At 52.9% G+C, this 14456-nt stretch overlaps 3 protein-coding genes across 49 annotated transcripts in view; 1 reads left to right on the top strand and 2 right to left on the bottom strand.

Moving 5' to 3' along the window:
* Positions 1 to 4318, top strand: part of QTGAL (queuosine-tRNA galactosyltransferase) — a 109622-nt gene extending 105304 nt beyond the window's left edge. For 6 of the 15 annotated variants that reach the window (XM_047435396.1, XM_047435395.1, NM_001009905.3 and 3 more), the window contains one exon: positions 2418 to 4318. The gene's annotated coding sequence lies outside the window, so the exon portion shown is untranslated. The remainder of the gene's footprint in view (positions 1 to 2417) is intronic. The other 9 variants (XR_007065267.1, XR_002957964.2, XR_007065266.1 and 6 more) reach the window with 4 other exon arrangements.
* Positions 553 to 14456, bottom strand: part of TBCD (tubulin folding cofactor D) — a 193850-nt gene continuing 179946 nt past the window's right edge. For 32 of the 33 annotated variants that reach the window (NM_005993.5, NM_001411102.1, NM_001437989.1 and 29 more), the window contains 6 exons: positions 13732 to 13809; positions 9107 to 9196; positions 8331 to 8418; positions 6991 to 7100; positions 4984 to 5068; positions 553 to 4018 (listed from right to left, as the gene is read on the bottom strand). In NM_005993.5, coding sequence (NP_005984.3) covers positions 4004 to 4018; positions 4984 to 5068; positions 6991 to 7100; positions 8331 to 8418; positions 9107 to 9196; positions 13732 to 13809 — 466 coding nt within the window. In that variant the 3' untranslated portion in view covers positions 553 to 4003. Of the gene's footprint in view, positions 4019 to 4983; positions 5069 to 6990; positions 7101 to 8330; positions 8419 to 9106; positions 9197 to 13731; positions 13810 to 14456 lie in introns of those variants that run through there. The other variant, XM_047436617.1, reaches the window with a different exon arrangement.
* Positions 4390 to 4977, bottom strand: LOC124904095 (uncharacterized). The gene has a single exon (XM_047437261.1). The coding sequence runs from the start codon at positions 4959 to 4961 to the stop codon at positions 4413 to 4415; it is 549 nt and encodes a 182-aa protein (XP_047293217.1). The 5' UTR covers positions 4962 to 4977; the 3' UTR covers positions 4390 to 4412.

Below are 14456 nucleotides of genomic sequence, written 5' to 3'. Positions count from 1 at the left end.
GGTGATCAATTTCTTCTTGAATGTTTGCTTTAGTATCTTCTAAGACTGTGTTACAAATGTAGGAAAGTTCTATCAATCATCTTCCTGTTGAACTGAGCCTTTAATCATCATATAGTAATCTATTCCTAATAACACTATTTGCCTTCCTTTAACTGGAGAACTTTGTCATTAACAGAGGTTTTAATCCATTCACATTTATTGTGTCCCAAAATATTTATTTCTAATTGTGTGTGTGTTTTGCAGCTTGTTCTGCCTTTTCCTCTTGCCATTCTTGCATATTTTGATAGTGTATTTTTTATTCTTGTTCCATTTCTCTCCTACTAGTATAGAAGTTATCTTCCCCATACATTAACTGTTTGTGTGTGACTAAATACTTCAACATGCACCTAGCCAAGCTGATAACTGAATTATCTGCACTCTGTTCCAGGAGAACATAGACTTAAGATGCTCTAAATTCAGCCACCAACTCTGCCACTGATTTATATGCTGCTGTTGTCCATTTTAAGCAATTCTACGTGCTTTAAAAAAAAATCCACATATAAGCCATCTTTCTATGTTTTTATGGTCACAGTTTATTGCTTCCCTTGCTCCACATTCCTCCAACTATCCAACTGCGATCATTTCCCTCCTGCCTAAAGTTTATCCACTAAAGCAGTGGTTCTCAACCAGGGGCACCCCCAGAAGATATTTGGCAGTGTCTGGAGACATTTTTTTTTCTTTTTGTCACAGCTGGGTAGGGGGATGCTGCTTCCATCTGGGATGTTGCTGAACACCCTGCAATAAACAGGACAGCTCTCAAAACAAATGACTCAACCCCAAATATTAAGCCAAGATTAAAAAACCAAACAGATAAGAATGGCATATTTTTATCTAAATGACTTAATTTTGTTCTCTTCTTTAATGTTATGCTGTGGGCACAATTCAAGCAACTTGACAGCTATTTTCTCTCAGCATAATGAAGACCTTGGTCTACTCACTGCTCAACTCCAGTGCTGCTGCTGGGAAATTGGTAGTCGTTTATATCACTCTGTCCTTCTTACAGTTCTGCAGTTTCACTGTGGCAGGTCTAAATGTGAGACTGTTAGGCTTCTGTATCTGGGGACTGTTGCATGTCAGTATGGAATATCTGCATCATTTCATTTCATTCTGAGACCCCAATTACCCAAAGGTTAGACATTCTTCAATGTCTCTTGATGTTGCTGTCATATCTTCCAGTTCTCTGGATAATGTTTTCAGATCTTCCAGTTTTCTAATTCTCTCTTCAGCTGTGTCTAAGCTATCCATTGAGCTTTTCATTTCACTTCTTACATTTCTAGGGGCTCTGTTTTTTTCTAATCTCTTCTTGATCATTTCTAGCCCTTTTCAAAAATGTACTCATATTATAGCCTACATTCTACCAGAGAGGTTTTGTATTTGCATCTTCTGCCCTTGTCTGGGAATACCACTGGTCAGGGCCAAGTCAATCAAATTTTCCACTTTAGGAGTTTTGGGGATCATACAGGTAGTATTAATTCAGGCCACTTCAGGGGAGATAGATTGAGATAAGAGTCTTGCTGCTGTTCCTTTGAAAAAGACTTATTTAGGGTCCCAGCTTTATATAGTGGTCCATTAGATCTGGCCCTGGGCCTTAAATTCTCTCATCCATTCTGCTATCAAAATAGCGTGACTAGATTCCAGGGCTCAGCAGAAACCCTCAGGATCTCCAAGGTCTCTGCTCTCACATGGAGGGTTTCTGGTTAGCACCTAGAACGTGTTTGTGGGTACACAAATCCCACATCAGCTCCCCGGTCCCAGGGATACTGGCTTCTTGCTGCTCTCTAAACTCACAAAGCTTGCTCCACTTCTGGGACCACAAGCATTCTCTTTTCTGCCATTGGACACAGTCTGGACCTCTGCCCAAATGCTGCCCCTTCAGAGAGGTTTTCTGAACACCTTCTCGGAGTCAACACCCAACATGCCATTCCATTGCCCACTTTATCTTTGTTCATAGCACTCAGTGTTGCCTGCCTTGATGGTGCTTGCTTGTTCATTTGCTATTGTCTGCCCCAGCTATCATGTGAGCAAGGGGTTCCTTGCCAAACTCTATCACCTGGACCCTGGTGGGCTCCAGAAACGGCTGCTGAAAGAGGGCTTTCCAGGCCACCAGGTGTCTGGTGAGCACAAGTGCCCCAGTGATGGATGGGATCCAGTGGGAAAGAGGCAGTGGCCAGTGGAGTGATCCACTTTCCTCGGGTTGCTAAGTTAGACCGACATTAAAAGAAGAACTGCTTTGCCACATAGTGTCACTGATGGGTCTGGGTGGGTAATCGACCTGCCTCCATGTCTTAAAATGCCATTTATCTGGAATCTTCTTTTAATTGCACTAAGAACAGTTCATCATGTTTTTCTCAGAAGCCACTTGTTCCTTCCATCCTCAGTGCATCCCAGGCCAGCAGGAGCTTTGTGAGCTGCAGGCATGGCGATGGTGCGCCTGTTCCACACCCAGCAGGCGCAACCAGAGTCTCGTGTGTGCCGACCACAGGAGCCAAGCCTTTTCCACTGTGTGGACTCATGTGGCCAAGGCTAGGCCTGGTCACCCAGGACCCTCACCACGTGACCCCAGCCAATCGGGACAGTTCAAGGAGGAGGAGACCCCTATTACACAGGTTGGAATAAAATATTTAAATCTCGTAAAAATGTAACCCAAGGCTCTTTTAGGGTATAAAGACCATTGGCCACCAGGTCAAACACAACAACAGTAGTGTGTTAACCCCACACTCCTGTGTGGCCAGGTCGTCACACACATCCCGTGAAGAGCTGTCTGCTAAACACACAGCACGGACTGTCACAGTCCTGGTCTTGTGGTCCTGGTGACCTCACAAGCCTCACAGATGCGGTGGCACCTCCCAGTTCTCGGCCTGCCCATGTTCCTGTGTCCAGGCCCCATCCCCACCTGAGAGCAGGCCAGGGAGCCACCCTAATCTACACCACGCACATGGCACCCCTGGGCTCCTCACATAGGGAAAGGGTTGCTCACCCAAGCCCTTGGGCCTCTGAGTGGCCACACCTGGGGCTGCTTTGGTGCTGCTGGCCGTGGTTCTGCACCTCAAGCCCTATGAGCACAGCACAGGTCCCAGAGATGGGTGTGGGTTGCTACCACAGTGAAATTTTTATACACGTTCCCCTCACCAGCTTTGGGATGGATCAGCACGAGCTCAGACACAGAGACAAAGGTAGCCTCCTGCCCTTTGCCTAAAAACCCAAGTGTGGACTCTGCCCAGGCTCTCCTAAGACAGTGTAATTATTTCAAGAATGGTATTTATTTCCGACATTACTGTAGAGGCACACATTGGACTCTGACGATTCCCCTTGCAGCAGACATTTGTGAAGCTGCTGGTCGGCACACCCATCAATCAGTGACTCCTGCACTGCAGAGGGGCCACATGCACGATGCTCACGTGTGCACAGGGGGGAGGACAGCACCCCCACCAGGCAGACGGGCCCAGAAACAGCATCTGCCCAGCACTCCAGACCATGCCTGCCACCAGGGCTTCTCAGTTCTCTAGCATTTGAACCTCTGATTTAACATTCATCTCTCTCCAAGACTGGGTGGGGCACTGCCTGTGGCCAGACGTCTCCCACAGCAGGGACAGCACCAGGCAAGAAGGGGGCCTGGTCTCCAGGCAGGAGGAGTGCAGCCCACCTCCCCTCTGGCTGACCCCTGGGCAGTGAGCCTTTCCATCACCCCTACACACATCAGGCTCAGAGACAAAAGGCAGGAACTTCTTGGTACATGATTTTATAGGAAGCACATTTGTGTTCAAGTGAAGGCAGAGGCGTCCACCCCAAGTCACCAGAGCGCAGGTGCAGAGAGGAAAAGCTGTCAGCTAGTGCCAGCCTCCAAGGGCCAGCGCTACCCTTCAACAGCTGGAGGCACCACTGTGCGAGGCTTTCCACACCGGCCTCCCTCAGGAACAAGACATCCTCACCAGGCAGGGGTGAGGTATGGGCTCCAGGACTGGCTTCAGCAGGCACCAGGCTGAAGAAGAGACAAGACAAGCTCAGGCTGGTCAGCTCCAACACACACCATTCCCAGCCAGGGGACCCTCACCCCTCTGGGCCCTGTGTGGGGACTGACACGGTTCCTGCAGGAAACCATTTGTGCCGTTTCCCACACACCCGGCAGCCTGAGCTATGTGGCTGACAGGTGCTCATGACTAACGTGTCCTCGGAAGGGCACCCCATCTGGGGAGCGGGAAGGGAGGTTCACTGCACTGCTCTTAACCTGCATTCACACGTTTGAAATTTTTCCTAATAAAAATGTAAAAAGCACATTTAATTCCAAAGTCTGCTGTTGAGTTCAGCCTTTACACACACAGAAATGGGGGAGGCTGTGTCCTGATGCTCAGCCCATCCCCACTGCCCCCATGTATCTAGACATGGTTCTCCTCCTCCCTCTCAGATATAACCTCCTGCCGGAAGGAGGCTGAGAGGAAGGAGCCAACCCTGGTAACTAGAGAGACAGCACAGCAACCCTGGGCCCCAGCCCCCGAGAGAACTGAGGTACTTGTTTTTGTTACTTTAGAAGAGTGACGGGCTGGTGAGGTGCACAGGGGCAGCTTCTGGGGGCCTCTCACCCAGCCCCGGCCCCACTCATGGGAAGCAGATGAGGAGGGGTAGGGTGGCACTCTTGGCACTTGGAGCACAAACAGACCCCAGGGCCAGGCATGAGGAGCCTGGATCAAGCTGGTGCCAGCTCCACCCACTCCCCGGCCCCCCAAACGCCCCAGAGCAAGTGGCCTGGATGCCACAGGGGCCCACAGGTGTGGGCAGTGGCCAGAGAAGGCAGCTCTGCTGGTCCCGTAATCCCAGGGGTCCTGACATGAGACGAGGGAACGGGCCGTGTGGACGTGCTGGCAGAAGCTAAGCACAGCCGCTGGCCCCAGAACATTCCAGAGCTCAGGGAAGCACAGGCACCTCATGCTGTGAAGGTGACAGGGTTACCTGGGGCACCAGCTGGGGCCTGGGTACGCCCAGAAGGTCACACAGACGGTTGCGCTGCTCTCTCACCACTGCAAGCTCCGCGTCCCTGTGAGGAGAGGGAGAGCCGTGAGTCTCTCGAGTGCCCACCGGAGAACCTCAGGTGTGCGGAGGTCCCGCGTCAAGCTTCCATGGCCGCAGTCAGGGAAAGGAGACCTCACCCCCGACATCCATAGCCAGGCTGAGGGCAGAAAAGACGTCACAGGAGCACGTTCTCCAGCAGAGCCTCGAGCCTGAGCCCTTTCCGGAATCGCAGGAGGACGGTTCCTTCCCAACAAGGGGTGCCCCTCGGGAAGGACCACGCCCAGCGCAGGGACTGCGGGAGGACAGACCAAGCGAGGCCAAGGAGGGGCTGACAAGGGTTTTCCAGGTTTTAATTTAGCTGTTGATGCGAAATAAAAATTCTAGCAATGCTGTGGAGATATCTGGGGCATGTTTTTCGTTTCTAATTTAAAATATTCTCTTTAAATTCTAAGGATTTTTTTTTTTAACAGAAAGGGGATTAAACGATAGGAGAAGCCCCCAGGCCCACCCTGCTAGTTCCTCCCTCCCTGATGTGAGGAAAGGAGGCCACCCCGACCCAGCCTCGCTGGAGGAGGCCTCGCCCCGCTCGGGACACCTGGCTTCTTCAGTCCTAAAGCCAATTATTTTAGAATCTGGTCCAGAATGCACCTTGGTGTTTTTTTTTAAAAAAATCATTGTAAAAACGGGTCTCCAGAGCAGTAGTTAAGATGGCCATTCTCTCAACGCATGTTGAGAAGACAGCCCAGCTGCTCCCGGTTCCTCTCCTGGGACCACGTGTTTGTTTAGGAGCAGACACACACTCCTCCCCAAACCAGAAAACCTCGCGGAAGCCCTGGAGAGGCCACCTCTGTCCTCCGAGGCCACAGCGGCTGCCTGGTGCGTGAGCTCTATGGGAACCCAGCCCTGTTGGAAGGTCACTGTTCCGAGGAGACACCTAGGGAACGTCACCTACGTCCTTGCTGGATTCAACAAGGGGCGTGGACCCCACAGACCTGTAGCAACGCACCGGGATCAGCACGGAGGCCCTCACAGTCGGCACTCAAAACAGAGCAGCATCCACAGGCAGGACACCTGGGACTCCACCACCCCGGGTATGCCATGTGGACACCCACACAGCCTCTGGTTGCTTCAGTCCTGATCTCCAACACGGGGTGACGAGACTGCTCCCCTTTTAGAAGTGTGTGTGTGTGTGTGTGTGTGTGCGCGCGTGCAAGTGAGCATGTGTGTGAGCCAGCATGGGTGCCCATGCCCATATGTGTAAGACACCATCACTGCTGTTCCCAGGAACATACCGGTTGGCCCAGGACACCTGAGCCTGCACTTTCCCCACTCTGCTCTCATTCAGACCCTCCCACCCCCAACTCAATACACACATCTTTCAAAACCGCCATTCTACTCCACCCATGGTAAAGAAGCCAGCCCATGTTGCAGAAACTGTGCCTGCCAAAGTAAACGTGGAGAGTGGCACTATGGCCTCCTGAGGGCCTCATGGCCCTGAGGAAGGGGGTGGACATCAGAGCAGAGGCGTGGGGAGAGCTTTTCTTATTTCCGCCTGTGCCTCTTGATTTCCAACAGGTGCTCACACGGCCTATTCCAAGAGAACTTTAGAGAGGTCTGGGGCAGCAGCACCTGCCAGGCCTTCAGTGCCCTCTGCTCCACAGGCCACCAGACACAGCCTTGTGGTACAGGTGCCCGCTCCCCTGGTGGGATGGATGGCTTTGCTGTGTTCCTGACACCTGACACTGTTTGGGGACAGGGCGGTTGAGAAGAGGTTTCGGCTACAGCAGCACGGCTGCCTTGTAAAACCTAAGCAGAGGATGTGGAGACCTGGGAACCCTCTTTCCTCCTCCTATCAGAGGGTTTTGGGAGAGACGAGTAGACACGGTGGGGACAGGAAGAGGGGCGGTGCCAGGCCCAGGTGGCCGTGCAGGAAGGGCCTTCACTCACCACGCAGTGTCACTGAGCACAGTCACCACCTCGTCCAGCACATCCGCGCCCACGACGTCACTGTAGGTGAGCAATGTCTCGTACACCTGGCTGGCCGTGGTCTTCCGGATCTGGGACAGGGATGCAGTGCATTTGCCGGAGGGAAGCGCCACCGCCCCACCCCGGAGAGACGACAGGACCCAGGCCAGGGAGCCCCGTCAGTGGAAGGCGTCAGGAGGAGGACGCTGACCCTGCATCCCATCCCAGCCACAGCAGGGCTGCAACCAAGAGGAGGTGCCTTCCAGGCCCATTAACCACCTCCTCCCTCCACAGACACACAGCTAGCTGCAGGATCCCAGCAGTGAAGATGACATCATTCTTGTTTAAATGCTTTATTAACCAACCTGCTCCCTCACCAGAGAAGCAATCTCGCCTGCTCTCTATTAACTAACCTGCTCCCTCACCAGAGAAGCAATCTCGCCTGCTATTAACCAACCTGCTCCCTCACCAGAGAAGCAATCTCGCCTGCTCTCTTTTCATCAGAGAAGCACTCTCACCTGCTCTCTATTAACCAACCTGCTACCTCACCAGAGAAGCAATCTCGCCCGCTATCTATTAACCAACCTGCTCCCTCACCAGAGAAGCAATCTCACCTGCTCTCTTTTCACCAGGGAAGCAATCTCGCCTGCTCTCTTTTCATCAGGGAAGCAATCTCGCCTGCTCTCTTTTCATCAGGGAAGCAATCTCGCCTGCTCTCTTTTTGAGTGGTGCCCTGGTCATCATGTCTCACTGCGCTGGTGGTCTGAGCCCCGGGCCCACCCTGGAGGTGCTGAGTCGGCAGCACAGGGCCCAAGAGCTGCACTGCTGAAGCCCCAGAGGTGCCAAGCCTGAGGGTCCGGCACCCCACTTCGAGAACCACCATACAACATGAAGTTACTTTTGCCTTTTAGGAAAATGTCACCTTTGTATCATCTGAGGTTTTTTTTGCAGCCAGGAGAAAAGAAATCCTAGAAATCTAATAGCCGGGGAGTGCTGGGGATGAAGGGCACTGCCCCTAGGTGTGGCTGAACCACTTCAGCCTGGGTCCTTCTGGAAGCTCCTGAGCCAGATCCCACCGCCAGGTCACCCCTCAATGTATGTCCATAGAAACGCCAGCCGGACAGCCCGTCCTTAAAGCCAGAACAGTGGCGTCCAGAGCCCCTTGGCAGCCGCGTGCCTGTGACGCGTCGTCACCCAGGCGCGTTAACGAGAGGGGCTCGGCTGGAAAGCACACCAACACAACAGTGCCAGCGAAGGCCTTCTTGTCACTGAGGGGCTTGTGTCCACACGGCAAACACACGTGAGCAGGGGCAGGCACTCACCAGCGGGAAACGGTGGCAGAGGAGCAGACACAGCTGCAGGAGGGCCTGCCTCCTCACGTCGCCGGGGAACTGCACCATCTCGCAGAACCTGCCGGGAGCAGCACATGGCTCCAGGTGAGCCCCACCCCGCGCAGGCCAACCCCAGCAAACCCCGGACCCAAAGGCCCATGCAGAGACCTGGGCAGAGCAGATCCGTGAGCACAGTGCGGGCCTGGGGCCCCAAGCCGGAGGTGTGTGTGTGCGTACATCTGCACTGTGCCTACACACACGAGTGTCGCACTTGGAAAGTCACTGTGGGAAGTGAGGACGCCTCACAGAGGATCTCCTGCAGGGCCGCTCGCCCTGCCATGAGGACCCCCACCTCAAGGAGCCACAGAGCAGCCAAGGTGCCTATCGCTGGCTGGCGCACCTGCCCAGTGTCCACCTGAGCGCCGCAGAGCAAGGCACTCAACAGCGACCCCCAGGGCACACAGGAGAATCGGGGAGGCAGCCCCTGACCACGCAGCTCCTTTCCGGAGCCTCCCCTCCCGCCAGGGCAGAGCGCGAGGGCAGCAGAGGCAGAGCTCGCCTGTTCCCGCGGGAACTCCCTCCACCAGCACCTGGGCTGCCTCACCTCCCATTGCGACTGCTTTGAACATTGGAATGCACGATCTTAGGTTAGCTTGAGGAGTAACACTAACTGCTCCTCTCCCGCCTGGAGCCGTGGACTCCTGCCCTCAGCCAAGGGAGGCTGCGCCCTGCCATTCCGTCTAAGGCCAGCAGCACTTGAAACTCACACTGCGATGCCTGACAGGAGCTTCTGGATATCTTTTGAATTCTTGATTTCTTTCTTACAGAGCGCAAGCAACTTCACAGCAAAGGGGTGGCTGGAAGAACAACACACACTTTAGAGATGAGCTTTCACAGGCAGCCCCGGGATGCACACTTTTTCTGTCTCAAAGAAGGTCAACTCCGTCCTCCCAGTGGCTCAGTCCAAGAAGCCTGCAGCCCTGAGGCCCCTCTGCCAGCAAGTCCGCTGGTCCCCATCCCAATACCTCCACAGGCCGGCCTGGTCCCTAGCGGCTGTGCCACCACCTGGCCGGCCTCTGCTGTCTCTTGCTCTCTTGCCTGTGGTGCAGCAGCCCCCACGGGGCCCCACCTCCCTTTCCAGGCCCCAGGGTCTGTCCCCAACACAGCGGCGGCCAGGATGCCCGTGCTCCTCCACCACTCCCTCCAGAGGCTACCTGGCCTGGGCTGCTGCAGAGCCGGGGGAAACTGCCGACACACAGAGGACACACAAGGCTGTGCAGTGTTGTTTTGAGCCTTCAGTGGCAGCAGGGACAAGGGCTGAGGCTTGGTGCTGACAAAGGCACAGCCCTGATGAGCAGCTCTGAGAGGGCACCTGGAAGGCCACTCCAGGGAGGAGAAGGTGCGCACCTCCCTCTCTCAGTGGGGAATGCAGCCAAGCTCCAGCCACCCAACAGGCCAGGAAACCCTCACTGCTGACCGTGAGTCAAGGAGACCCCAGGCTGCTGCTACCCTCTCCTCAGGTGCCCAGAAAAGGCAAACTAAGGTCCTGCCTGCCAAAGCACAGGCTTAGCCCAGACCTCGGCTTGCTCTGAGGTGCGACCCCTCAAACGCAACGTCCCGAGAGAACACAATACCAGACAAGTAAGAAGACAAAGAAACCCGCTCAGGTTGCAACTCAGACACACCCAGCCAAACAGGCAGGAAAAGAGCATTCAAGAGGATGAACACCGGGCACGGAAGGAAGGGCCGCAGGGAACGGCGAAGCGGAAAGCGCTACAAGCAGACGTGGAAACACGCGAGACAAAAAACCTACACCTGAAAAGACGCAAAACTCCACAATAAGAATTCCACAAATCACAGTTAAAAGTCATTTAGAGACATCTTCAGAGAGAATCAGCAGCTGGCAGGCGGGCCAAAGGTAATGAAGCAAAGAGAGAGGGAAAAGACGTGTGAAAATTGCAGAGGGGGTGACCGAGGGAAACACGTGAGCGTGATAATGACAGAAAAACCAGGGAAGGAGCAAACCTGGGCAGGGGGTGGGAAACCCGGGCCGTTTCCAGGGAGCACAGGCAGACTCAGAGGTAACACTCAAAAGCAACAACAGAAGCAAGGAGGAAGTGGGAAAATATTTTTAATGTGCTACAACGAAACAGCTGCCTGAATTCTATATACCCTCTGAAAATAATCTGCACATAAAATGGGAAAGCTTCACCGCAGCAGACCCCACTCGAGGAAATCCAAGGGAGTGTGCTCTAGGGAGAGGGAATGTGAACCCCGATGGGGGGGGTCCCAAAAGCAGTAAGTGATGAGAGACAAAGAAAGTAAAAACGTGGAAAATTCAAAGTAACGCAAATTACACATACCACAATGAACAGGAAAGTACGTACATCTAAGACAAAATATCCGACAATAGCAGCACATAACTCAAGACGGAAGCACGCGGAACCAACACGTTCTAATATCCTTGCTATTGTCCAATAAGGACAAAATGCTGAAAACTGGACTTCGCTAAGAATACGTGGTGTCATTTCTAATTTCTAGGGTAAGCGTTAACAGAAAAAAGTAAAATGTCCCAAACAAATATATGAAAACAATGGAATGACAAAAGCAATTCTACTAATCCAACAAAAAGCACAGGTGGGGGCGGGGAGGGGGCACTGGGAACGCAGCACAGGGAAAAGTCCTGTGAGTGGCAGGCTGAGAACCAAGGGGATTATAAAGGTCATGAAGGAGGCAGGTAAAAGCTACAGGCTGAATTTTTACAAAACCATACACTGTTCTAAGAGAGGCGTACAAAAACATACATGTATGAAGATACTGAAAGTAAAACGATGGAAAAAAGTATACAGTTCAAAGTCAAGTGAAGCAAGACAAAGAATGAGTGGAGCAAAAAGCATCCTAGAAATGGGTGATAAGGGCAAGATTCAGCCCACAAACACGCTTCAAAATCTGAAAAGCCAAAACTGACAAAACTGTAGAGAGAAATACAAAGCTGTATTCATAGCAGGACATGGCAGGAGGTATTTTCTCTACCATCCTATCTTGGAAAAAAAATTTTTTTTTTGAAACAGAGTCTGGCTGTGTTGCCCAGGCTGGAGCACAGTGGCTCAATCTCAGCTCACGGCAACCTTCGCCTCCCAGGCCCAAGCCGTACAGGCACCACCACACCCGGCTAATGTTTTTGTATTTTTTGTAGAGATGGGGTTTCACCAAGTTGGCCAGGCTGGTCTCAAACTCCGGAGCTCAAGTGATCCACTCGCCTTGGCCTCCCAAAGTGCTGGGATTACAGGCGTGAGCCATGGCGCCCAGGCTTATTTTGAAATTTTTAAGCCAGAAAAATATATGTCAATATTTTAGGCCAGGTACGGTGGCTCACGCCTATAATCCCAGCACTTTGGGAGGCAGAAGTGGGCAGATCACCTCAGGTCGGGAGTTCGAGACCAGCCTGACCAACATGGTGAAACCCCATCTCTACTAAAAATACAAAATTACCTGGGCATGGTAGCACATGCCTGTAATCCCAGCTACTAGGGAGGCTGAGGCAGGAGAATCACTTGAACCCAGGAGGCAGAGGTTGCAGTGAGCTGAGATCGCACCAATTCACTCCAGTCTGGGCAACAACAGCAAAACTCCATCTCAAAAAAAAAATTTAAATGGAGTATTTAGCATTGTATTAAAGGATAATACGCCACAACCGAGCTGGGTGCACCTGTGAACATGGAGGCTGTTCCAACAGCAGGTGTAAGAAGGTCAGTCAGTGATGCCCCATTAAGAAATTAAAAGGGGAAACCCTTCAATGCTGTTAGATTTAAAAACATGTGCAGCGTCCAGCAAAGATGGAGCAACAGAGACCAGATCTGCCTCCCGCCCGAAGGTTAAGGCAGAGCCAAGTCCAGCAGGTGGCAGACTCCAGCGGGAAGCCCGTGGTGAGAAGCGGGAAATTCCAAGTCTGCAGAGCTCGCTCAGGTTCTGAGCACCAGAGGGGGCTTCCTGGGGGCCGCTGAGGACTAACCTGGGCCTGGGTCAGCCAGTACCTGAGTACGAGGACGCTGTCCAAGGCTGGGGACGAACCACCCAAAAGATGGCCAGAAGCCCCGGCACTGCCCCAGCAGCGGTGGGAAGGGAAGCGCCAGGGAGCAGAGACCTTAAAGGGGCAGAAAACCCTGGAGACCAGCACAGCTCTGGGTCCACCTGACAGCTTAAGAGTAGCGCCCAAGCCAGGCTCAGTGGCTCACGCCTGTAATCCCAGCACTTTGGGAGGCCGAGGTGGGCAGGTCACTTGAGGTCAGGAGTTCGAGACCAGCCTGACCAATGTGGTGAAACCCTGTATCTACTAACAATACAAACAATCAGCCAGGTGTGATGGTGCACAGCTGTAATCTCAGCTACTCAGAAGTCTGCGAGAGAACTGCTTGAACCCGGGACGGGGTTGCGGTGAGCTGAAATCGAGCCACTGCACTACACCCTGGGCAACAGAGCAAGACTCCATCTCAAAACAAACAAAAAAAAAGCAGTGCCCCCAAAAACAGACCACGCTGTCTCCGGATGACCCAACGTGCCCCAGATACAAATATATCCAGGCCAGACGCAGTGGCTCACACCTGTAATCCTAGCACTTTAGGAGGCCAAGGCAGGCACTTGGGGCCAGGAGTTCAAGACCAGCCTGGGAAACATAGTGAAATCCTGTCTCTACTAAAAATACAAACATTAGCCGTACATTAGACTACAGCGCATGCCTGTAGTCCCAGATACTTGGGAGGCTGAGGTAGAGGCTGCAGTGAGCTGTGATTGTGCCACTGCACTCCAGCCTGGGAAACAGAGCTAGACCCTGTCTCAAAAAAAAAAAAAAAAAAAGACTGGCCCAACACGGTGAAATTCAATGAAGCAAGAAAATATGGCAGCAACGAGATGACCACTCAGAGCCAACAACCCAGCTGAGACCAGCCTGGGGCATCCGCGTGGCGCAGAAGCAAGGAGCTCCAATCTCCTGGGCAAGTCCTCGCCAGGTCACCGGCCTCTGCCCTCTCCCCTGCGAGTCTCATCCCCGTACAGCCGAGGCCCCTTCAGGCCCTGCGGCTCCCAGCACAACCCTGAGGCCCACCCCTGGCCCGGTGGGATAGCTGGGGGGAGAGTGCACAGCAGGGCCCCCGCCTCAGCCCCAGATGGGGCTGACTGCACTTACAGTCATAATATGTCATTATGTAAATATGTTATTATTGCGTTATTTTGAGGGCCAGCTGTGATGACGGTATTTACAGTCACCATAACTGACCCAGAACGCACTGGAAGATCATTTCCTGGAATTCTGATCTCTGTGTCTGATGACTTTTTCTTTAATACATGAGCTACTTAGGCTTAATCGGAAAGGAAGTCATGAAAAGCAGAGCCTCACTCCTCCTCCGTGGTGAAGATGTCGAAGCAGCCGTGGGTGAGCACGTGGTCCAGCGTCTTCAGCAGCGGCACGGACACCCTGAGGGGAGAAGGAGCTGTGAGACCCTGGACACCAGCAACAAGGACGCCCAACTCCCTGAATGGCTGAGAGTCAGCAGGATCCCAGTGGAAAGCGACAAGCCCCCTTTATAATTTACGTGGAAACGCAAAGCTTCAGGAAAAGACAAAACAACTGTGGAAAGAAGAAACAAGGCTGGAGGCTGACGCTGAACTTCGAAAATGATGGTAAAGTGGAAGGGATAGAAACAGCACGGCCCTGGTGCAAAGTGAAGCAAACACGTCGGGCACAGGAGAGTCCAAAGTAAACCCACAGTTTCTTACAAAGCTGCAACGGCAATGCAGCGGAGAGGGGAGCCCTCCCAGCAATTGGGGTGGGCACCGCTGGGCGTCAAGGTGCCTGTGCCGACGCTATACCATGTAAGAAACCTCACTCAAGACGCGTCCCAGGTCTAAATACACAACCCAAAACTATAAATCTTCTAGGACAAAACAGAAAATCTCAGTGACCACGGATTAGGCAAGCTGTCTTAGACACACCAGAAAAATCTGTGCCTCAGAGAACAAGGGGAGATGCTGGGACGTGAGGAAAGTGTGAGGCCCCCGCTCGGTGCGTGAAAGGACAGGCAGGGAGAAAACACCCTCAAGTCACATGTGTGACAAGGGAGG

The sequence above is a fragment of the Homo sapiens genome, chromosome 17 (assembly GCF_000001405.40).
Source record: "Homo sapiens chromosome 17, GRCh38.p14 Primary Assembly".
NCBI classification, from domain to species: Eukaryota; Metazoa; Chordata; class Mammalia; order Primates; family Hominidae; genus Homo; species Homo sapiens.
The sequence above is the reverse complement of the archived record's forward strand: the minus strand, read 5'-3'. Positions and strand labels throughout refer to the sequence as shown.